Raw genomic sequence first — 25,369 nt, forward strand, 5'->3', positions numbered from 1 at the left:
CTCTTTTGTGTGAGTCTATGGGAGAGACACGGTCCTACACTCCCCTATGAAAGCAAAAAGGATTAGACATTCCCAGTCACTAAACACTAATAAGACATGGAGGTGTGAAACATCCTGTGCAATACTCCAGCCAGGACATTATGAATCTGGATGGACAGACCAAAGGAATGGGACAGTTCCATATTTCCCACAGTGAAGATGGTGACTCTTCGCATGGTGAGACTCCATTTTCTTCTCTGCTGCCAGCCTTTCTTGGGTCTTACTCACTGCTGAAGTCTAATTCTCCAGCTTTTCCATCAACTCTGTGAACTGCCCAATAACTTCCCTGTAAATTATTTTTCTGCTGAAGTTAATGCAAGCCATTTTCTGTTGTTTGCAAACAGGAGCCCTTAGGTGGCACATACTGTTAAATGTTTCCTACAACAAGATCATGTTAAAGTCACTCATTCCCAGGCAGATCTCACAAACAGGTATTTCCTGCAGCCACCCGGGAGTTTCTCTCACCTCTAATATCAAAGTTGTTTTTTATTTGCTGCCCTTTTCAAAGCTGTCTGGCTCCAAGCAAATTATTCCTCTGGATCCCATCTGTCACGTGGACATAATGCTATCTATTTCACAGGTGAACTTAAAATTTTTATGATAGAATACATTTATGTGGGCCAGGCATGGTGGCTCACGCCTGTAATCCCAGCTACTAGGGAGGCTGAGACACAAGAATCGCTGTAATCCCAGCACTTTGGGAGGCTGAGGCAGGTGGAGGCAGGTGGATCACCTGAGGTCAGGAGTTCAAGATCAGCCTGGCCAACATGGAGAAACCCTGTCTCTAATAAAAATACAAAAATTAGCCAGGTGTGGTGGCACACACCTGTAATCCCAGCTACTTGGGAAGCTGAGACACAAGAATCGCTTGAGCCCGGCAGGCAGACGTTGCAGTGAGCTGAGATCGTGCCACTGTACTCCAGCCTGGGCAACAGAGCAAGACTCTATCTTAAAAAATAAATAAATAAAAGAATACATTTATGTGATTTTTTAAAAAAAAATCCATCATCAGTGCAGAAGGGTTATAAAGCAAAAGAAGAAGAAAAAAGCGACCCCCATCCATCCTACCCAGTGTCACCCCCCAGAAGGAAATACTTCACAGTTGCTTGTGATACGTAAGGGTTTGGTGTTGGACATCTTTGATGTCAGACTCCCCTCATCCAAACTCTCCTTTACGTTGAGAAACAAAAACGATGCAAGTGAAACATCAGCTAAGAAACCGATACGGTAAAAATGATGGCAGTAAAGTGATCCTAACAACCACTGTCGAAATGACCCACTTCAGTTCATGGCACCTTCAGAGGACCACTCTCAAGAAAATAAGGGAAAAATGGGTGCAGATTCCTATCTACCAGGTGGAAAAAACAGGTGACTAACAATTTAACAGTACAAATACCTTGCAAACGGTATGATTTTAACCAGTGAAACTCCATGTACTGCATGTCTCAAGTACCCTAACGTTAGCCAGGTCTCTATCTCTATGGATTTAAAATCAAAACCCCTCAACACAACACTCTGTAATGTTCTTACCAATCTGTATCAATTTGACATAAGTTTAGTTCCATAATTAACCTTTGCTATCTAGTCAAAAAACGTAGATAAATCAGCTGGTATCAGAAGAGCGCCTCAGAGCAGTGGTTCTCACGCTCAGTCTAGTTCCCAGACAATAGAAAGCATCAACATCACCTGGGAACTTGTTAGAAATGCAAATTCAGGCCAGAACTTCGGGAGGCAGATCACCTGAGGTCAGGAGTTCAAGACCAGCCTGGCCAACACAGTGAAACCCCATCTCTACTAAAAATCAAAAATTAGCTGGGCGTGGTGGCGGGTGCCTGTAATTCCAGCTACTTGGGAGGCCGAGACAGAAGGATGGCTTGAACCTGGGAGGTGGAGGTTGCAGTGAGCTGAGATTATGCCACTGCACTCCAGCCTGGGCGACACAGCAAGACTCCGTCTCAAAAAAAAAAACAAAGAAAAGAAAAAAAAAGAAAAGAAATGCAAATTCATAGGCTCCACTCCACGAATACTGAATCAGAAATTCTGGGGTGCAGTCCAATGTTAGAACCACTGCCCTAAAGTCTAACAAACTTCAAAAATCAAAATATACTCTTGAGAGTTAAGGAAATTGGGAAAGAGGAGTTCCTTCTCACTGCTTTACATTTCCCGAAAGACGGCTCTCCTCATCCCTCACCCTGCTTTTTTCCTGGCATTCTGACTGTTTCTTTGGGAAATCAGAGAGGGCTTACAGGTCTCTCATATTTGGCCCCCAGAGTACTCTGTTTCTGAAGCTGCACTAGGCTCGGTGGAAAACTTACCAGAAATGATCAGTGATGTCAACCATGAGCTCAGGAAGGGAGGGGAGGGAGACGGCAAATAGTGGGCTTTTGACCCTCCCTGCACTAAATTATTTGTGATATGCATATGATAGCCACATCCATCTTGCTAAACCTTTCTCTTTGGTGTTCCTCCAGGCCAAATTGCTCTCCAACCCAGTGATGCACATTAGAATTAGAGAGTTTTTTGCTTAAAAACTCTCCCACTTCTTAGCCAGGTGTGGTGGCGGGCACCTGTAGCATCGGTTAACTACTTGGGAGGCTGAGGCAGGAAAATCGCTTGAATTCGGGAGTCAGAGATTGCAGTGAGCTGAGATCATGCCACTGCACTCCAGCCTGGGCGACAGAGTGAGACTCCATCTCAAAAGAAGCAAAAAAAAAAAAAACAAACCCCAAAACTCTCCCATATGGGCTCCATCCCCAGCGAAGATTCTGATGTAACTGGTTTGTGCAGTAGGTAGGGCATCTGTGTTCTTCAAAAGTCTCCCCAGGTAATTCTAACATGCAGCCAGGTCCAAGAACCTCTGGTAAACCTAGTGGTTTTCACAGGCTGGTGGCCAAACGAGCTGCCTCAGCATCACCTGGGGATTTGTTAAAAATGCAAATTCTGGGGCCCTACTCCAGACTTACTGAATCAGAAACTCTGTAGGGTGAGGCTCAGTAATTGCACAAGCCCTCCAGGTGATTCTCATGCACAATTAATTCTGACAGCCATTGAGAGCCCTGTTCACACCACAATTTAAGAATCTTCCCATGAAGGAGATTCTGGGAAAAGCAATGGCCACCTCCGTCTACATTAACAATCACAGTTTGCAGTTTTTAAGGACAAAAACAACTTCCTCAATTTTTTAAGCCAAGTGAGCTAATAATAATTCCAACTTGTCTTTCACTTTACATATCCATGGGAGGTGTTAATTACTCTTTCTGTCTGCCTTAAACATCACATCATAATTCTAAACTAGCAATTCCTAGAATGTACTTATGAGCTGCTGAATGATTTGAAGAGTGGCAAAGTGTTATGGAGAAAAAGCTGAAGCAAGCCCCGCTGGGCTCAGTGGGAAATGAAAAGGTAATTAAATATTATTTGGCTGTTTTCTACACCAAGCTGGAAACCCTCCCCGGGGTTTATGGGTAGAACAAATAAATAGGAGAAAATAGGGATAAGCTTCTTGACATTTTTTCTTTCAGGCCCTTCAAACACCCTTGGGATCAAAATGTCCTAAGGAACTAGGCAGACCAGTGAAGGCTTGGCTACATCAAGCAAAGTTATCTTGACAAAATTTATGGTTATTGTCTTAATCCATCCAGGTGCTATAACAAAATGCCAAAAACTGGGTGGCTTATAAACAACAGAAAGCTATTTCCCATTGTTCTAGAGGCTGAGATGTCCAAGATCCTAGAAGCCAGCAGACTTAGTGTCTAGTGAGGGCGCACTTCCTGGTTCATAGATAGCTGTGGTCTTGCTGTGTCCTCACATGGTGGAAGGGGTAAAGAGCTCTCTGGGGTCTTTCTTAAAATAATGGCACTAATCCCATTCAGGATTGTACAACCCTCATGACCTAATTACCTGCCAAAGCTCCCACCTCCTAATGCCGTCACCTTGGAGTTATAATTTATTTTTTTCTTCTTCTTATTTTTTTTGAGATGGGGTTTCACTCTTGTCGCCCAGGCTGGGGTGCAGTGGTGCGATCTTGGCTCACTGCAACCTCTGCCTCCCAGGTTCAAGCAATTGTCCTGCCTCAGCCTCCCGAGTAGCTGGGATTACAGGCCCCTGCCACCACACCTGGCTAATTTTTGTATTTGCAGCAGAGATGGAGTTTCACTACGTTGGCCAGGCTGGTCTCAAACTCCTGATCTCAGGTGATCCGCCTGCCTCGGCCTCCCAAAGTGCTGGGATTACAGGCGTGAACCACCGCGTCTGGCCTGGAGTTAGGATTTCAACAGGTGAATTTTGAAGGAATGCAAACATTCAATCTATAGCACTTATAAAACCTTTTTATGATCCATATTGACTGTCTATTCCTGAATTAAATCTCATTCACTTTTCTGTTGCTAGAGAAACCTACAACATGACTTGGTAGGAAGCCACATAACAGAGCCTTAAAAACCTCACATTTTCTAGATCCTAACCTTTCCCTTGAGCTGATGAATTCTCTCTTAGAAAGAAAATTCACCAAAGAGAAAGGTCCCTGCTGCAGCATATATGTGGGCAGGGAATGACTGCAGAAAGAACAAAAGCCTTCTGTGCGCATAACACAGAAATGCCCTGGATGAGAAGACAGCGCGGAAAGGCACAGCAGCAAGGATGAGGCAGAGCCAGCAGCGCCACACGCAGAGAAATCCAGATGCAGGCCTGAAAGTTACATTTCATTCTGCTACTTGGTCATTTGAGAACCAGAGAGTTGTATTCTGAGTCCACTTGATGTTAAATATTATCCTATTCTGCAGAGTTTGAACTGGGTGCCCTGGGAGACTACCTCACTGTATTTATTAGGATAGAGGTGCCGCTAGGGCAGATGGAGGTGGTTATGTTTTGCCTCCAGCCCCAGGGCAAGCTTCAAAGCCAACCTTATCCCATATCCATCAGCTGATGGAGGAACCCTCTGAGATCAGGAGAACCAGGTGCAAATGAGCCTATAACCAACTTACTATGCATTTAGTTGTTTCACAATACGCATGTTCTCCACCATAAAAATATCTTTTTTGAATTGACTAAATAACATATGATCAAGGCTTTAAAAATTTTAAATAATCTAAAAACATAAGGACAAAAAGTAAAATCACCTGATATTCTACCACCTAGAGACAACTGTTTGAGTCCCATCCTTTCATACATCTTTCCACCTATGCCCCTGTGCACACACACACACGCAGTTTTACGCAGCTAACATCTGTTGTACTAAATTTTATTTCACTATATTTTATTTTCTTATAATTCCCCTCCTCTCCTGCTCCCCATCTCTACGTTATTGATTTTTTTTTGCTCGAATCCTGATTCTTTCCTTCCTTCTGCTTGCTTTGAGCTTAATGTACTTCTTTCTCTGTTGTTTTAGGGTGGAAGATTAAGTTGGTTTAAGATCTTTCTTCTTTTTTCTTTTTTAAAACAGGGTCAACCAGGCTGGAGTGCAGCGGCACCATCACAGTTCACTGCAGCCTCAACCTCCTGGGCTCAAGCAATCCTCTGGCCTCGGCCTCTCGAGTAGCTGGGACTACAGAAACACGCCACTGTGCCCAGCTACTTTTTTAATTTTTTGTAGAGACTAAGTCTCACTATCTGGTCCAGGCTTCTTTTTTTTTCGAGACAGGATCTTGCTCTGTCACAGGCTGGGGTGCAATGGTGTGAACATGGCTCACTGCAGCCTAGACCTCTGGGTGTAAGTGATCCTCCCACTTCAGCCTCCCAAGCAGCTGGGACCACAGATGCATGCCACCACACCTGGCTAATTTTTTAATTTGTACAAAGAGGGTCCCACTATGTTGCCGAGGCTGGTCTTGAACTCCTGAGCTCAAGTGATCCTCCCACCTCAGACTCCCAAAGTGTTGGGATTACAAGCATGAATCATGGCACCCAGCTCTTTCTTCTTTTTTAATGTAGTTATTTACAGCTATAAACTTTCCTGTTAGCACTGTTTTAGCTACAGCCCGTGATGTTTGATATGCGGTATCTTCATTTTAATTAGTTGGAAAGTACTTCCTCTCTTTTTTTCTTCTCTTAGAAACAGAGTCTCACTCTGTTGTCTAGGCTGGAGTGCAGTGGCGTGATCATGGCTCACTGCAGCCTCAACCTCCTGGACTCAAGTGATCCTCCCACCTCAGCCCCCAAAGTAGCTGGGACCACAGGTGCTTGCCACCATGCTAGGCTAATTTTTTTGGAGAGATGAGGTCTTGCTATGTTGCCCAGGCTAGTCTTGAACTCCTGGGATCAAGTGATCCTCCTGCCTCAGCCTCCCAAAGTACTGCAATTACAAGCATGAGCTACTGCACCTGGCTTCAAAGTACTTTCCAGTTCTCCTTGTGATTCCTCTTTGTTCCACTGGTTATTTATAAGGGTGTTATTTAATTTCCACATATTTGTGAATTTTGCTCATCTTTCTGTTATTTCTAGTTTCACTCCATGTGATCAGCCTCTGTTAATCTGTTTTCAACATGCCCTTATGTTCCTAAATGTTTGTTAAGAAATCATTTATTTCTCTATGTTTTTAAATTTGTTGACACAGGGTAGCATATACTATTCCTTTATAATTCTTTGGATCTTATCTATATCTGGGTATGTTCTTTCTCATTTCTTATTTGTATATATATATTTTTTCCTTAGGCAAGAAAAGAGTTAACTGATTTCACTGGATCTTTCAAATAATCAGTTTTTGTATTTATTAATCCTTGTGACTATTTTATCTTCTAGGTCATTCATTCTAGCTTTTATCTTTAATCATTTCATTTTTTACCATCATTTTGGTTATACAATTTTTTTTCACTTCCTCAGATGAATATTAATTAACTCTTCCATGTTCTCATCCCCAAATGCTGAATCTTCTGAATCTGTCTTCTGAGTTCCTTAACTTTTCCCTCACAGCCTTAATCTGTATATTTTGGGTTTTTGTTTTGGAATATTTCCTCCAAGTACCTTTCCAAGTCACTAATTTTGTTTTCAAGAGTATCCCATCCTGATTATTTATTTGATAATTTTATTATTTTTTTTGTAGATGGGGTCTTACTATGTCACCCAGGCTGTTCTCAAACTCCTGGCCTTACGTGATCCTCCTATCTCAGCCTCCCAAAGTGCTGGGACTGTGAGCCACCGTGCCCAGTCCTGATTGTTTAAAATTGAAACTCATGGTTTTAGTTGCAGAATGTCCTTTTTACTTAATACTGAATGTCAGCCAGCTCTGAGATCGAAGTTGTATTGCTATAACTAGCTGACTTTGCCTCACGCCAGTGCCTATAACGCTGGCTGCCCGGGCAACCTGTTCTGAGCACTCTCCCTGTGCTTCCTCTCTGTTGCTGGGTCCAGTGAAGTGTGCAACTAAAATTTTCCCTTTGCTGGCTACGGCTCCATTCACCCTTAGGGCTGAGTTCAGGTTGCTGCAACATCTTCAGCAGCAGAACCAGTCTGCAAGCTGTCAGTCCTCTGTTGGGGGCAGTGGGAGCATCACTGGGAGAATCTCCTCATCTACAAAGGCTAGAATCCACACAGTCTCAGAACTACGGAAGACCTGGCCCCACTCTTCATTTCCCCTGAAGCACCCTGAAGGCCAGAGAGACCTTCGACCCAGGAACATTCCTTCAGACAACTGCCTTTCGTCTCAGGGTTTGTGGATCTCCATAAGCCAAGTTCTCTTCAGGCCCCAAAGAACTCTTACCCTCACCCTAGGGCTCCTTGACTCTTGCAGGCTCTCTGCTTCTATAATTGCAGGACCAGCCCACACTGGGCCTGTTCTGTTGATAACAAAATGTTGAGTTACCTTATAACAGAGTCCACAGTTGCAAGTCATGTAGTCTGGGAATGTGCAATAGAAAAAGCTTTGACTTCTAACGACACCCAGAACCAGGGATTCCGCCCCTCGGAACCAACAAGGCTGGAAGAGAACCAGACCCTGCATGCCAGAACTTCTTCAGAAGTGAGGGGTCTACTGATCCGGAAGATGTAGGGCTCAGCATACCTTACCGTAAGCTGTCAAATCTGAAGCCCTCTAATTAGACCTTGCCAAGCCAGCATTCCCAAATCCCTTCCCCTGCCTTCTGATCCCTTAAAACTTGCCCCAGATCCCAAATAGAGGAGAGAAATTTCAGCTGACTCTTGTCTCCTTGCGGGCTGGTTTTGCAATAAATAAAGCCCTTCTTTTCTCAAAAGCTGGTGCCATAGTTATTGGCTTCTGTGCACATCAGGCAGCAAGCCCATCTGCTCCATAACACTTCCTGATCCTACCTGCCTATCAGTCCCCTTCTCCATTCAGGACCCACTCAGGCTGCCATCTTCCCCTGAAAGGCACTGGCATCTCTTCTTCCTTAATCTAGTTATATAATACTTATTATCCATTTGCCAAAGGCCATGCCTACTATAGGCAACCTGTAGCAGACAGGATCATTGTGCTGCTCACAGGTCTTTGTTTCATCCTGAAGCTTACTTCCAGCTTCTGTGGACAGCTCCGACATAAAATGACCGTATATGAACTCAAGCATCTCTGCCTCTCCACCTGAGGGTGTTCTCTGCCAGGCACGTTCTTGGTTGAAAGACAGCCCATAACTATCAAGCCTCAAGTATTGAGGGGTTAAGGCCCCCGGGGTGAAGCCTTCAACAAATGAAGAACAAGTGTTGCTAACTCCAGCTTCTCAGTCCTTCCCGGGCAACGAAGGAGCAGTTGGTAAATACTCTGGCTTCCTCAGCTCTTCACTGGGACAAATCGGAGGCATGTTCCATCCAGTCTCCCTCAGTGCCCCCAATGGGACTGATCTCTAGGATCCCATACAGTGATGGTGATAACCTGGTCACTAATACAACCTTTTCCAGCTTTCCTCACTTCCCTGTCTCACCTCTGTACTTCTCCACTGTGCTTTCCGGGATCAGCAACCACATAAACTTCTTGTACTGAAGTTCCTGTTTCAGGGTCTGATTTTGGGAAACCCCAAATAAGACACAAGCATACCAGAGGCATAGTGGCGTCTCTGACAGACAGTTACCAGCATTCAGGGCCAACTGGTATCTGGGTCAATAACATAGCATTTCCAGTGCAAAGGCCTCCTCTCCAGTCAGGGTCTATGTCGCTCTCATGGGTCAGGTCAAGGCAGATAATACAGAATATAAATCTAAATTGCACCATGGTAGATCATGAATAGTAGGAATGAAAAAGTTAATGTAAATAAAAATGGACTAAGAGTGGATAAAGGTTAGACTATCCAGGTTGACCAAAAGCTAATATTTACCAGAGAAGGCCACAGACATTATGCTAGATAAGGTGCAAATCCTTTATATTTATTGTATATTTAGAGTTGCCTTTGTGCATCAAAAAACACTGTAAACAGTGAAAAGGAAATTCATGGAATGATAGGTAATGTTTGCAAATCATATATCTGATAAGGAATTAGAACATATAGGCTGGGCGTGGTGTTCCCGCCTGTAACCCCAGCACCTTGGGAGGCTGAGGCAGGAGGATCACCTGAGATCAGGAGTTTGAGACCAGCCTGGCCAACATAGTGAAACCCGATCTCCACTAAAAATACAAAAACTAGTCAGGTGTGGTAGCGGGCACCTGTAATCCCAGCTACTTGGGAGGCCAAGGCAGGATAATTGCTTCAACCTGAGAGGCGGAGGTTGCAGTGAGCCAAGATTGCTCCACTGCACTCCAACTTGGGCGACAGAGCAAGACTTCGTCTCAAAAAAAAAAAAAAAAAAAAAAAGCCGGGCATGGTGTCTCACGCCTGTAACCCCAGCACTTTGGGAGGCCGAGGTGGGCAGATCACCTGAGGTCAGGAGTTTGAGACCAGCTTGGCCAACACGGCGAAACCCTGTCTCTACTAAAAATACAAAAAAATTTGCCGGCCACGGGGGCAGGCACCTGTAATCCCAGCTACTCGGGAGGCTGAGGCATGAGAATTACTTGAACCTGGGAGGTGGAGGCTGCAGTGAGCCGAGATGGCGCCACTGCGCTCCAGGCTGGACAACAGAGCAGGGCTCCATCTCAAAAAAAAAAGATATAAAGAACTGCTGGGCCGGGCGCGGTGGCTCACGCCTGTAATCCCAGCACTTTGAGAGGCCGAGGCGGGTGGATCACGAGGTCAGGAGATCGAGACCATCCTGGCTAACACGGTGAAACCCTGTCTCTACTAAAAATACAAAAAATTAGCCGGGTGTGGTGGCATGCGCCTGTAGTCCCAGCTACTCGGGAGGGTGAGGCAGGAGAATGGCGTGAACCCGGGAGGCGATCGTTGCAGTGAGCCGATATCGCGCCACTGCACTCCAGTCTGGGCGACAGAGCGAGACCTCGTCTCAAAAAAAAAAAAAAAGAACTGCTATAACTCAACAACAAATCTCCCAAGAAACCCAATTAAAAAATGGGCAAAGGACTTGAATACACGTTTCTCCAAAGAAGATGTACAAATGCATGGTAAGCATATGAAAAGATGCTCAACATTGCTAATCATTGGGGAAATGTCCATCAAAACCACAGTGAGATACCACTTCACACCTACCAGAATTGCTATTACTTGAGGAAACAGAAAATAACAAATGTTGGTGGGGGACGTGGAGAAATCAGAACCCTTGTGCACTGCTGGTGGGAATGTTAAATGGTGCAACCCCTGCAGAAGACAGTACGGCGATTCCTCAAAAAATTAAACATAAAATTACCCTATATCCAAAAACTCCACTTCTGAATATATACCAAAATAAAAACTGAAAGCAGGGACTCAACTAGATACTTGTACATCAATGTAAAGTGGCATTATTCACTATAGCCGAAAGGATGGAACAACTCAAGTGTCCCTCAATTGATGAAGGGATAAACAAAATGTGCTATATATATGCAATGAAATATTCCACCTTAAAAGGAAGTAGGCCAGGCGCAGGAGATCATGCTTGTAATCCCAGGACTTTGGGAGGCCAAGGCAGGAGGATCACTTCAGGTCAGGAGTTCCAGACCAGCCTGGGCAATGTAGTGAGACTCCTGTCTCTACAAAAACTTTTAAAAATCGCCAGGCATAGTGATGCGTGCCAGTAGTCCCAGCTAAGCGGGAGGCTGAAGCAGGAAGATCACTTGAGCCTGGGAGGCCAAGGTTGCAGTGAGCCAAGATCCTGCTACTGCACTCCAGCCTGAGCAAAAGAATGAGACCCTGTCTGAAAAAAAGAAAAAAGGAAGTAAATTCTGACACATGCCACAACATTGATGAACCTTGAAGACATTATGCTAAGTGAAATAAGCCAGACACAAAAGGACAAATATTGTATGATCCACTTATACGAGGTTCCTAAAGTAGTCAAATTCATGGAGCCAGAAAGTAGAATGGAGGCCGCCAGGGGCCAGGGAAAAAGGGAAAGAGGAACCGAAGAGTTACTGTTTAACAGGTCCTGAGCTTGAATTTGAGAAAATCAAAAAGCTCTCAGACGGATAATGGTGATGGCTGTACAACAGTGTGAATATACTTAATGCCTCTGAACTGTACACTTAAAAATACGTAAAGCAGTAAATTTTGTGTTATGTATATTTTACCACAATAAAAAATACTTTAGAGTTGTGAAATACTACTAAGGCTACTTCCTAAAAATTATGCTATGGTTATATCTGAAATATCATACAATAATGAAAGGGAAAGGAAACATTCAGATTCAAAACTTTTTGTGACTACAGAACTCTACAGACACATTGACTGACTCTAATTAGTCAGGTATAAATGAAATTACCAGGAAATGGTTCCTTGATGACACCTGTGACTGCACCTGCTATTTTGAGTATAACATCAGTGGCTGACATGGTATTCGAAATTCTCCCTCTGTGCAGAGTTGTCAAGAAACCTGTGTTTCTTCTTACAAAAAATGTGACGTGCATATAGGTCCCCTAGATTTCACTGGACTCTAGCCAGCAGTAAATCATGACAAATTAGCCAATATGTAAGCCCTGTTGTAGACACAGAATAATTATAAGACAAGAAATGTGTCACCCACTTGTGCAGAGATTAGCACAAATAAGCCAAAATAGGATTGAAACAAGGTTAAAAAAATCACTTATATATGGAATATGTGGTGTATCCCTTCCTTTTTTCTGCGAATTAAGACATCAAATTGCTTTACTCACCAGAAGCATGGCCCTTGTACTTTCTCAACAAAGAATAAGGCATTTTCTCATCTGTCACAGCAGCTTCTGCTCATGACCAGAAACATCCTTCATTCCTTTATCTAAGCCTAAACATTGTGCAAAGCCCCTGCCATGCTCAAATCAGCTCTTGGAAATGGATGGTATAGCTGGGAATCTCAGGAACTGGAGAAGACATCATTGCCAGGAACGACATCATGATGAAGATCTCTTACCCTCTGCAAGATTGGGATAGGGTGTGGAGTCTCACTGTCCATCATATGAATGAGAAAAATTAGGACAAAGAAAGAACACCAGGTATGTAGGGAAAAACAGCGGAGAAATGTCTAAGACACTGGTTCTCAACCTTGGCTGCAGTTGGAATCATGTAGGGAACTTTAAAGAAATACTCACGCCTGGGTCCCTTCCCTCACCCCAGTCATTCTCCATTGAGATTATGATTCAATCTGGGATTGTGATGTGGGCATCAGGGATGTTATAAAGTCACCATGGGATCTAATTCCTAGCCAAGGCTGTAAACCACTGCTTTAAGAAGACAAATTTCCTGATTCTTAGGTCAGTCTTCTGGGATCCTGGCTGGGATCACAATTTACTGCAAGAGCTAATAACCAGAATTAAAATAGTCTTGAAAAATCACTCTCCAATATGACAGTGAAAATGTGATTATATTCCGTCACTAGAGGGCGAAATTTCTTAATTTTCAACATTTAATAACTATCATAGACTCAAGGTTCAGAATTCACTGAGGTTTGTCTCTTAAAACAAAACAAAAATAAGTAATGAAGTTCTAAAGAAGGTATACTAAAGCTTGACTTTCATGCTATCAGCTCCTACCTATTTATGAAGTGAGACTTTAAGACGCAATTGAGAGCACTGTATCCTTTCATTGCCACATACCCTCTTCCCAAAGGGTTTGTATTTTATAGGGTGTATTGTTTTTACAAAGTAAATGGCTTTGCTGTGTAGTCTATGTTACAAAACAGAAGGTAGGGCATCTTGAAACAGAAATTTTGCATTACTAACCAGCTCCCAGAGGGGTCAACTCTGAGGCTGCTGGTAGAGAACTATACTTTGAGCAGCAGGAGGTGAAGAACCTAGGGGCAGATACCATAACTCATTTTCTAAAGATATTCTAAAATGTAAACTCACATACCGATAACATGATTCCTGCCCATCTATCATTCATCTATGTATGTATGTATGTATGTATGTATGTATGTATGTATCTATCTATCTATCTATCTATCATCTGTCCATCGGTCCATCTGTCATCTATCATCATGAAGGCAGAGAGACCACAAATCCAGGGGATTCCAAATTGACTGTGTATTAGAATCACTTGGTCTTGTCTTAAAAATAAAGATTCTAGGCCAGGCGTGGTGGCTCACACCTGTAATCCCAACACTTTGGGAGGCCGAGCCAGGCGGATCACCTGAGGTCAGGAGTTAGAGACCAGCCTGACCAACATGGAGAAACCCCATCTCTACTAAAAATACAAAATTAGCCAGGTGTGGTAGCACATGCCTGTAATCCCAGCTACTCGGGAGGCTGAGGCAGGAGAATCTCTTGAATGCAGGAGGCAGAGGTTGCGGTGAGCCGAGATCACGCCATTGCACTCCAGCCTGGGCAACAAGAGCAAAACTCCATCTAAAAAAACAAATAAATAAATAAAAATAAAAATAAAGAGTCTTAGTCTCACCCCCTGGAGGTTATGATCAGTGCGTCTGGAGCGGGGCCCGGAGTTTGTATTTTTAACAAGTGCTCAGGAGATTTTGCTGGAGGCTGTTGCTTTTGAAAATCACTGTTCTTCTTCAAAGTCTTTCCTTTACAAAGAAATTGAGGCTGGAAGAGGAGAAGGGACCTTTCAAAGTTAGTGACATTACCAAAGCAGGATCCAGGTTCTCCTGGCCCTGCTAAACTGAGACACTTGTTGGAATTCAGCATGTGTGCTTGATCCTTCTTCTTATGCTGTGTCACTGACAGGTGTAGTAAGCTAGCTTCCAAAGACAGTCCGCAATGAACGACATCTACCAAAATTCACACCCAGGTGTTGTCCCCTCCCCGATTCAATCTGGGCTCGCCTCGTGACTTGCTTTAATAGATAGACTAATCTGGAAGGGATGCAGTGTAACTTAGGAGGTTCGGCCATTAGAGATTTGCAGCTTCTCCATGCTTCATCTGGGAACACGCATTCTGAACCCCGACATTGTGCTGTAAGGAACAAGGAAGCTCAAGGAACTACAAGGAAAGCCCCATATGGAGAAAAACTATGGCCCTAGTGAACATCCTCAAATGCACTCCCAGCCCACAGCTCCTCACCAGCTATGTGAGGGAGAACACGATGCACCTTCTAGCCATGCTCTCCCCAGTGGAGTGGAACTGTCTAGCAAGTCACAGAATAACACAAAAAAGTTGTTGTTCTAAGCCTTTAAGTTTTGTGGTGTATGCTATACAAGAATAGATTGCTGAAACAATAAGAAAAGAAATGCCCTTACCTGTTTGGCTGGAAACAGACCTGGTCATAACCTGTGAGTTCACACAAATCCTTCTCAAGCTCTCGGAAAAGCTGCTGATATCCTTGAGCTTGATCCAGAGGCACAAAGGGGTGGATGTTTGCAAATTCTTTCCATGTGATAGGCTGAAAAGAAAGAAAACAAAAATGCATATATACATATTATAATAGCAATAGCAATAATAACTTTAATAATAATGACGATGATGAGAAAAGCTATGTGCCAGGCACTGTTCTAAGCGCTATACATATGTTAATTTATTTAAGTTCCACCACAACCTTATAAGGTAAGTACCGTTACTGTCTTCATTTAAAAGTGGGACATAGTTGTCCAAAAAGGGAACTTACACAAAAATACAATGTTTTGCTAACTTTTCAGGGAAGAAAAGCCCCCAAAACAGATTTCTTTCCATGAAACACAATGAGTTGCTTCAGGTATGGTTGGCATAAACTCTTATATAGCAATAGATTGTTCTCTTTCTTCACTAAGTGGAACAAGAAACAAACACAAAAGTAAATGGGAAGGCCAGGTACAGTGGTTCACACCTATAATTCCAGAACTCTGGGAGGCTGAGGTGGGAGGACTGCTTGAGGCCAGGAGTCTGAGATCAGACTGGCAAACACAGCAAGACCTTGACTCTATTTTTTAAAAAAATAGAGAGGGAAATATTCTTATCATGATATAAAATGATTTCTTTCGTCTGATATGATATGTCACTTCAGAATAAACGTAAGAAATGAAAGAAAGAAAAAAAAAGCTTCGCTAAAATGGATCCTGGCCTAGTAGAGATACTTGCCAACCACAACAGCGAGTTGCACAAATCTTCTGTTGACTTGAATCCCTATCTTTCTGATACAGGAATGATTTCTAGAAAGACGGCTTAAGGTTCGTAATTCTACCTGAGATTTAGAACTATAAACAATTTTTTTTAAAAAAGCTTTTAATATGACAGGTTTAAAAGGGGGTGGGGGTGGGGGAGGGATAGGATAGAAAGGCATAAATACCATATACATTTAATTAATTTTATTAAAAAATAATAAGTTTACCCATACATTTAAATGATGAAGTCGTGAGAAATACAGGGTTACTCCCAAGATTGGTGAATAGCAAGGTAAAGAATTATTAAAATAGTTCTTCAATCACAGAATCACAGTCCCAGTAGATTTCACTAGTTCTGGGCTTAGGTGGAAGCTAGAACACTGCCCCTTGCTGAGTATCCACTTACAGAAGTGAGCTACTTACTGCGAGTTCAGACGAACTGTTCAGTTTCATGGTGCAGGATCCCTTTAAGAAGAACATCCAAAATGTATCACATTAGTGATTTTCTATAGTCCATCAATCAACCCTCCATTCTCCCAGCATGGCCACCCCTTTGTTGCTCTTGGAGCATATTAGGTAGGACCAAGAGACGTGGGATTGGGGTAGCTTGGAAATGAGAAAAAAGGCCACAAATAACTACCAGTGGAATCATGCTGTGAACAAGGGAAATGTCTTTATTTTCCAGTTTCTTCATGTACCGGACAATGTTTGTTTCAGAGTGGTAGCTGTGAACACAAAACACAGAATTAGGGGCCCCAAAAGTAGATATGAGTCCATGCACATCCTCCTGACATATAAGACACACCGAAATCTACTTTCAAAATGCAGATCAATTTTGGCCACGGACAATATGTCAACTACACTCAGAGAGAAGGGCACAGACCCCCACAAACCTCAGAGGATGTCTTGGACAAGAAGCTGACTGTGGGTATGAGTTGAAGGTTGGGAAGAAGAGGATATAGGGCTCTTGGGAGTGAACTTCAGCCTGGCAATTATTCATCCCTGCTTCCTGACTGCCAAGGGAGCAGAGCCACCAGGAAACAAAGTGTGCTTTTCCCAAGTCAGGAACGGGATCGTTATGAGGATGAAATACTTGGGAGCCACGGCTGAGCCAGAATAACCAGGCCACAGCAGGCGAAATCAGCAGCAGCACTCTGCCTAACTCCCTAGCTGATTACCAAAGCACAAAACGCAGAAGTCACACAAGACACACAAACCTGTTGAACACTTGATGGGTGAGGAACGGGCTGGTCCTCTTGAACACAGACCCTGGAATACCTCTGCACTCCTCTCCCATGCTTTCAGCAACCAGTTCCTGAAGGAGAAACACAGAGATGATAGGGCCAGAACTGTGCCTGGAGCCACATGTGGACATCCAGGCTTCTGGGTGGCTGGGCCACAAAGCACTCAAAATGGATCAAATATATAATTTTACTTATTTATTTATTTATTTATTTATTTAATATTTTTGGAGGCAGGGTCTTTCTCTAGCACCCAGGCTAGAGTGCAGTGGCACGATCTCAACTCACTGTAGCCTTGGCCCTACTGGGCTCAATCCTCCTACCTCAGTCTCCTGAGTAGCTGGGGCTACAGGTGCATGCCACCACACCTGGCTGATTTTTGTATTTTTCTAGAGACGATGTTTCACCATGCCGCCCAGGCTGGTCACAAACTCCTGGGCTCAAGCAATCTGCCTGCCTTGGCTTCCCAAAGTGCTGGGATTACAGTCATGGGCCACTGAGCCTGGCCAAAGATGTAAATTTAAAAGCTAAAACTACTAAAACTTAGAAGAAAATAGGCCAGGCGCGGTGGCTCACACCTGTAATCCCAGCACTTTGGGAGGCCGAGGTGGGTGGATCACAAGGTCAGGAGATCGAGGCCATCCTGGCTCACATGGTGAAACCCCGTCTCTACTAAAAAATACAAAATTAGCCGGTCGTGTTGGCGGGTGCCTGTAGTCGCAGCTACTCGGGAGGCTGAGGCAGGAGAATGGCGTGAACCTGGGAGGTGGAGTTTGCAGTGAGCTGAGATCATGCCACTGCACGCCACCCTGGGCGACAGAGCAAGACTCCATCTTAAAAAAAAAAAAGAAAATATAGGGGCTAATCTGCATAACCTTGGATCTGGCAATGGTTTCTTAAATGTGACACCAAAGGAATAAACAATAAACATATATAAAAATTAGATAAATTAAATTTCTATAAAATTTGAAATGTGTGTGCATCAAAGAACATTATCAAGAAAGTTAAGAGACTGACTACCCACAGAATGGAAGAAAATATATGTAAGTCATATATCTGATAAGGATTTAATATCCAGAATATATAATCAATACATGGCTTGATCCTCATTCCTTGCCAGGCTAATAATATGACTAATACAGATTTAATACTTGTCCCCTCCAGATCTCAGGGTGAAATGTGATCCCCAGTGTTGAAGATGGGCTTGGCGCTGTCTTCACAGTAATGAGTGAGTTCTCACTCTACTAGTTCCCATGAGAACTGATGAGAAGTGATTGTTAAAAAGAGCCTGGCACCTCCCTCCTCTCTCTCTCTTCCTTTTTCTTTTGCCATGTGATGCCTGCTCCTCTTCCCCTTCCTTCATGAGAGGAAGTTTCCTGAAACCCTCACCAGAAGCAAACGCTTCTTGCACAGCACAGCCTGCAGAAACATGAGCCAAATAAAGCTATTTTATTTATAAATTATTTAGCCTCAGGTACTCCAATGCAAATGAACTAAAATAATGGCCCTCTTGACCCCTTAGTGATGCTCCAGAAACATTTCTCAAATGCATGAACCAAATATCTGTGATTAAATTTAGTGCAGAGTTCTACAGAGAAGGAGCTAACTCAGTCCTGTTTAATTGAGGTTTAAAAGAGAACACTGTGATGCTTCTTTGATCATTTATGAATGTTATCTGGTATAACCCTTTGAAGTCCTCTCTCAAAGAGGGCACAGATAAGCAAGACAGCACCACTCAGCACTCTGGAAGGTATTTCTACTTCCTTTCATCTATCCATTTAACAAATATTTACTTAGTGATTAATACACACCAGGCAGTGTAGGCTGTTGTGATTAACACCTTGCCACAGGTCTAGGTAGCTACTGTCGGCTCTCTTTCACTCTCATCCCATGGAATGGTAACTTTTCTCTTGCTTTCCCCCACTACTTCATTATTTTAGAAAGCAACTCATTACACTGAACTGCTTATAGCTTTCATGTACTCCCTCTCCCAGCCTTTGTGACTGCTTTCTCCAGTGTCTAGAACACTCGGACCCATCTTCCTTTCCCTCTTGTGCCATCTTGGTCTAGATAACTCCTGCTTATCTTCTTGGTAAGGAGCTCATCCTGTGAGCTCCCAGAACATCTTCACACATCAGTCACCTGGATTCTAATCTTAAGCTTGTTTATCTGAATCCCTAATAAACTGTAAGCACCAGGAGGACAAGAAGCATGTCTAATTCACCACTGTGTCTTCAGGGCCTAGCATAGCACCTGACACATATTGGGTCCTCAATAAATATGTATTAAATGAATATCATAATTTTCCAATGAATGACATAACCAAGATACAAATGTCTTGCATCTTTGTAGTAGAGGCAGTTTCTTTCTTTTTTCTTTTTTTGAGATGGAGTTTTGCTCTTGCTGCCCAGGCTAGAGTGCAATGGCGCAATCTCAGCTCACTGCAACCGCCGCCTCCTGGGTTGAAGCAATTCTCCCACCTCAGCCTCCTGAGTAACTGGGATTACAGGTATGTGCCACCATGCCTGGCTAATTTTGTATTTTTAGTGGAGACGGGGTTTCTCCATGTTGGTCAGGCTGGTCTTGAACTCCTGACCTCAGGTGATCTGCCCCCCCGCCCCCCTGACCTCCCAAAGTGCTGGGATTACAGGCATGAGCCACCATCCCCAGCCTAGAGGCACTTTCAATGAAACACCATTAACAATCTTTCCAACTAGCCTGGGTGCATAATACTGGCTGGAGCCCTACAGCAGTGACCTCCAGCTGTCAGCAGTGACTAGCAAGGGATAGTCAGTGGAATAATTTTAACAACAAGCTACCAGTGTCACACTTGGGCCCCTTCTCCCTCACACTCAGGGGATAAGCTACTTTTGCTACCACCTCCAATAGTTATGATGAGGAACGCATGTTTTTATTTTACTTACTGCAGATGACTCACAACCAAAGATCCACAACAAATCGTCCAGATCTTTTTCATTGACTGTTTCATCAAGAGAAATACCAAGCTACAGAAACACAAACAAAATGGAAAACATCAACTCTAAACTCCACATCACTGGAGGAATCCCAAGAGAGGTCAAAGGGGAGACAGTGCTAAACAAAATCCCATCATTCCAAAATATCAGGGTACAATTATCTCCACGCTAAGGCTTAGAGGAAGGTGGCTAGACCAGTCCCAGGTTTCACAAGGCTTCGAGTTTTGCCAGCCACCTCTGAACTCTAACATTCCATGGCTGCAGGACACTCCTTTTGAAGCTAGACATGCTTATCTTTTTCTTCCCTTAACCCACTTATCAGATATTGAGGAGATTTTCTTCCCTTAACCTGTATATCAGTTATCAGAGCCTTTATCTTAAAGTCAGTCATACTGTGAAGAGAGGAGTATTATGAACAAAATATGTGCATTTCAGTCCCACATATGAAAACACTAAGTCTAAAAGAAAGCAAAGGGTGAATGATCCTTTACTGAAAAGACCACAGTGTTGCATAATGTAAATAACACTTGTTTATGAAAAAATAGGACTGTGCCTAAAGTTTTCCTTTTTATTTTTTAAAAACAAAGAGAAAACCTTTTAATGAGAAACAATGTGAAAATTTGAAAAACTGGTAAAAATACTGAAAATTTGACTTACTGTGCCATCCTCAAAAAGCCGAAAATTGATCTGCCGCTGAGCGGCCCTGCCCAAGACCTCCTTCACTGAGCAGCCACACTGAATCTTCAAGGTATCAAAGAACAGGTCATGCTGGAGTTGATGCCCTGCTCGCTTGAGACCTACACAAGATAGGAGATCCCCCAAACTCTCATATAGAAACCTGCTCCTCAGCCATTGACATGTCACAGAATAATAAAGAGATAAATTCTACTAGACTCTTGTTGGTCCTGGGGAGTGCTTTGGTGATTGCTTTTTAAAAAACTAAACATGTTTATTATCATGCTGTAGAAAATTATGAAATACATATAAAAGAGTAAGGAAAATCAACATACAATTGCATTACTGCGTGTATTTTGGTGTATTATTTCTCAAGAAATGGGGGAGCAGGTAGTATCAGATATATATATATATATATAAAATTATACCTTTTTTTTTTTGAGAGATACAGTCTCACTCTGTTGTCCAGGCTGGAATGCAGTGGCATGATCATAGCTGATTGCATCCTCAAACTCCTGGGCTCAAGCTCATGCAATCCCCTTGCCTCAGCCTCCCAAGTAACTGGGATCAAGGACTCATGCCATCACACCTGGCTAATAATTTTTTAAATTTTTTGAAGACAGTGATCTTGCCATGTTGCCCAGGCTGGCCTTGAACTCTGGGACTCAAGCAATTCTCCCACCTCAGCCTCCCAAAACGATGGGATTATAGGTGTGAACCACCACACCTGGTCTCATCTATGCTTTCCTATAGATCACTATTTTAAACCATATTTAATGGCTGTACAATAGTCAAACATATGGATGAACCATGATTTAATCACTTTTTTTTTTTTTTTTTGAGAGATGGAGTCTCACTCTGTTGCCCAGGATGGAGTACAGTGGAGCAATCTTGGCACACTGCAACCTCCGCCTCCTAAATTCAAGCAATTCTCCTGCCTCAGCCTCCCGAGTAGCTGGGACTACAGGAGTATGCCACCACTCCCAGCTGATTTTTGTATTTTTAGTAGAGACAGGGTTTCACCATGTTGGCCAGGCTGGTCTTGAACTCCTGACCTCAAGTGATCCACCCGCCTCAGCCTCCCAAAGTGCTAGGATTACAGGCATGAGCCACTGTGCCTGGCCTATTTCTATTTTTTTATAGAGATGTGGTCTCGCTCTTGCCCACGCTGGTCTTGAACTCCTGGCCTCAAGCAATCCTCCTGGCTCAGCCTCCAGAGTAGCTGACATTACATACACGAGTAACCATGTCTAGCTCACTACATAGCAGCATTCTTCTGATTGCCAATGTAATGGGATAAATACTAGTTTATTGCTTTATTTTGTATCTCTTTCATTAATAATGAGGCTAAAATTCTATGTCTACTGGCCATTTATTTGTATACTTATTTCTTTTAAAATTACATTTAATGTCTTTTGCCTATTTTTCTATTAGGGTGTTCATCCTTCTTATGTTTGGGGCCGGTAGGAAAGTAAGAGTTCTACATATTAAAAATATCACAGCTTGCCAGGAGTAAAAGAGAAAAAAATATTAACACTCAGTCTAAGCCAGGCATGGTGGCTCACGCCTGTAATCCCAGCACTTTGAGAGGCCAAAGTGGACGGATTTCTTGAGGTCAGGAATTCGAGACCAGCCTGGAAAACATGGCAAAGCCCTGTCTCTACCAAAAATACAAAAATTAGCCAGACATGGTGGCGTGTACCTTAATCCCAGTTACCTGAGAGGCTGAGGCAGGACAATCACATGAATCCGGGAAGTGGAGGTTACAGTGAGCTGAGATCGTGCCACTGCACTCCAGCCTGGGAGACAGAGCAAGACTCCATTAAGCAAGGAAGCAAGCAAGCAAGCAAGCAAGCAAACAAGAAAGCAAGAAAGCAAGCAAGCAAGAAAGCAAGCAAGCAAGAAAAAAAGAAAGAAAGCAAGAAAAAGGAAATAAAAGAAAGAAAGAAAGAAAGAAAGAAAGAAAAAGAAAGAGAAAGAAAGAAAGCAAAACAACAAAATAATCATGGATGTTGAAAGTATTTTTCCTCGTTTCTCACTTGACTTTTAATTTTGCATATAGTATTGGACATGCAATATTTTCAATTTTACTCAAATTTATCAATTTTATTATGCCCAAATGTTTTAGACAGATTACCAACTCACCTTCTGACAAAATCAAAGTGGCATTATGTACCCTCCTAGCAATATGCTCCAGCCCATGGGAACCATGGTAGATTGCAAACATGGCAGCCATATTCGCCAAGAGGGCCTAAAAGATAAGAACATTTAAAGAATCACGTGATGGAGGACAATTAGTGGGAGGGTGTAATTACTTGACTTGGGATGTCAAAACTGAAGACAGCGACAAAACAAAATGATCAGATTTCCTACATTCTTTGATAGTTGGGGACAATTAATATATAACCTGCCTGACTACCTGAAAGGAACCATCATCCAAGACACCCTGGAGTTGTTACTATACTAAACCTTCACATTTGACCATTACGAAGGGCTTCTTCCATGCAACAAAATCATGTCACCCTTAAGGGCAAAGATCACACTACCATCAGACATTGAGAAGCAATGTTTAATGTTGGAAGACAGTGAAGCAATAAAGACCTCAGGGAGAAAAAGTGAGATCTGAGAATTTTACACTCAACCAGGCAATTCTTCAAGAATAAAAAGAAACAAGCAATTTTCAAACATTCAAGAACTTCAGGAATAAAATTCTCCTAAGAACTTAAATAAAACACTAGAGGCTGAACTTCTGCCAACCAAGAGTTGAATGGAGAATCTGTGGCAAAGGACTGGCAAAAACGGCAATGCGCACTTCAGCTGGGAGCGGGGTGGTGTGCAACTGTAGTCCCAGTGACTCCAGAAGCCGAGATGGATCACTTGAACCCAGGATTTCGAGGTTACAGTGACCTATGATTGCGCCACTGGACTCCAGCCCGGTTGACAATACAAAACCCTGTCTCTGCAAAATACAGTTGATGTTCAATACTGGGTCCATTTTGTTAGGTACATCTTTTTTTCTGCTAGACTACTAGAGGAAGTCTCTATGGAGCCAATGCAAAATAAGAAACAGTTTCCAAAGGTGAAGTCAGCAAACAAGGAAGTAAATGAGGAGAAAGAGACATCAGAAAACATGGAAGTAGGCATTCTTGTACTAAAAGTCCTAGACAAAGTGTAAACACTCTTATGGACTCCTTACAACAATCAGAAATAAACACAGAAACTCCACAGCACTTTACAGCTGTGGAAAAGGCGAGGCTGAGGTAAAGAATCTGTGACACACTGTGCCCAAATGCTCATGGCTGTGTTGCTGGAAACAGAAACCCAGGCCTGACATTCACAGAATGCCCTGGCAGCCTCCACCACAATATTGTAGAGGTTGGTTCATGTCCCTTTTTAATCTACAGATGATTCCTTCCATAATCAGGAGGCTATATCACACGGCTGAACAACAAATTGATGAGAAGTATAAAACCACTTTTTAAAAACTTCAAAGGGCACTAGAATATCAAAAGAAGAACCAAAAAAATTAAAATAGAGACCAAGAAAATGACAATTTCTTTCACAAATTGAACAAACTTAAAAATACAAAGGGCTTGAATCAGTGGCTCACGCCTGTAATCCCAAGACTTTGGGAGGCTAAGGTGGGAGGATTGCTTTAGCCCAGGAGTTAAAGACCAGCAAGAAGAACATAACAAGACCCCATCTCTAAAATAAATAAATAAAATAACAATAATACAATTAAGGTACTTAAAAGCCTCAAAAGCTAATGAATGCTCAAAATCATTAGTTATTAGGGAAATACAAAACAAAACCACAGTGAGATTATCACTTGACATCCAATAGGATGGCTATAACCAAAGGATAGGAAGTAACAAGCATTGGTGAAAATACGGAGAAATTAGAATATTCATATGCTGCTGGTAGGAAAGTAAAATAATGCAGCCACTTTGAAAAATGTCTGGAAGTTCCTCAAAATGTTAAATGTAGAGTTATATGACCCAGCAATTTCACTGCTAGGAATATAACCAAAAGAACTGAAAACATTACATCCATACAAAAATTTACACAGAAGTGTTCACAGCAGGCTTATTTGAAACACCCCAAATGTTTACCAATTGATGAATGGATAAACAAAATGTAGCATGTCCAAACAATGGGATATTACCCAGCCATAGAAAAGAATTAAGTACACATTCATGCTACAATATGGATGAACCTTGAAAACCTTATGCAAAGAAGCCAGGTACAAAAGGCCACACATTGTATGATCCCATTTATATGAAATATTCAGAACAGGCAAATCCAGGGAGACAGAAAGTAGAATAGTAGTTGCCAGGGGCTATAGGAAGGGGAGAGGGATGAGGAGTGACTACTTCATAGGAATAGAATTTCTTTTTGGGGTAATAAAAATATTCTGAAATTAAATACTGGTGATAGTTGCACAACCTTGTAAATAGAGTAAAAACCATTGAGCTGTATACTTGCAATTGGTGAAACTTACGGTGAGTTACATCTCAATAAAAAAAGCTAATAAAGTGTAAATTATTCTTTACTACACCTGACTTTAGAAAAGCCAACAAGGCTGGATGCAGTGGCTCACACCAGTGATCCCAACACTTTGGGAGGCTGAGGCAGGAGGATCGCTTGAGGCCTGGAGATCAATACTAGCCTGGGCAACAAAGTAAGACTCCCATCTCTATTTTAAAAAGATTTTTATATTAAAAATAAGAAAAGCCAATGAAAGAGCTGCTCATTGTGGTAGAAGCTAAGAAATAAGAGAATATATGGCCGGGCATGGTGGCTAACGCCTGTAATCCCAGCACTTTGGGAGGCTGAGGCAGGTGGATCATGAGGTCAGGAGATCGAGACCATCCTGGCTAACATGGTGAAACCCTGTATCTACTAAAAATACAATAAATTAGCCAGGCATGGTAGCAGACACCTGTAGTCCCAGCTACACAGGAGGCTGAG

The 25,369-nt window shown here is 42.7% G+C and overlaps 1 protein-coding gene across 1 annotated transcript in view, besides 1 other annotated feature; it reads right to left on the bottom strand.

Moving 5' to 3' along the window:
- GLDC (glycine decarboxylase) overlaps positions 1 to 25,369 on the bottom strand; it is a 113,263-nt gene that overhangs the window by 40,004 nt on the left and 47,890 nt on the right. Inside the window, exons 9-15 of the mRNA NM_000170.3 lie at positions 22,544 to 22,649; positions 20,381 to 20,520; positions 19,673 to 19,753; positions 16,725 to 16,822; positions 16,148 to 16,232; positions 15,931 to 15,972; positions 14,671 to 14,813 (exon numbers count right to left, since the gene is read on the bottom strand). Of these exons, the coding sequence (NP_000161.2) occupies positions 14,671 to 14,813; positions 15,931 to 15,972; positions 16,148 to 16,232; positions 16,725 to 16,822; positions 19,673 to 19,753; positions 20,381 to 20,520; positions 22,544 to 22,649 (695 nt within the window). The remainder of the gene's footprint in view (positions 1 to 14,670; positions 14,814 to 15,930; positions 15,973 to 16,147; positions 16,233 to 16,724; positions 16,823 to 19,672; positions 19,754 to 20,380; positions 20,521 to 22,543; positions 22,650 to 25,369) is intronic.
- Positions 18,339 to 18,633: an enhancer, noted in NCBI's record as "tiled region #10661; HepG2 Activating DNase matched - State 5:Enh". NCBI's record gives its function as "activates a minimal TATA promoter and a strong SV40 promoter by Sharpr-MPRA in HepG2 cells {active_cell/tissue: HepG2}" and the evidence as "EXISTENCE:reporter gene assay evidence [ECO:0000049][PMID:27701403]".

Source organism: Homo sapiens, chromosome 9, assembly GCF_000001405.40.
Source record: "Homo sapiens chromosome 9, GRCh38.p14 Primary Assembly".
Lineage (NCBI taxonomy): Eukaryota > Metazoa > Chordata > Mammalia > Primates > Hominidae > Homo > Homo sapiens.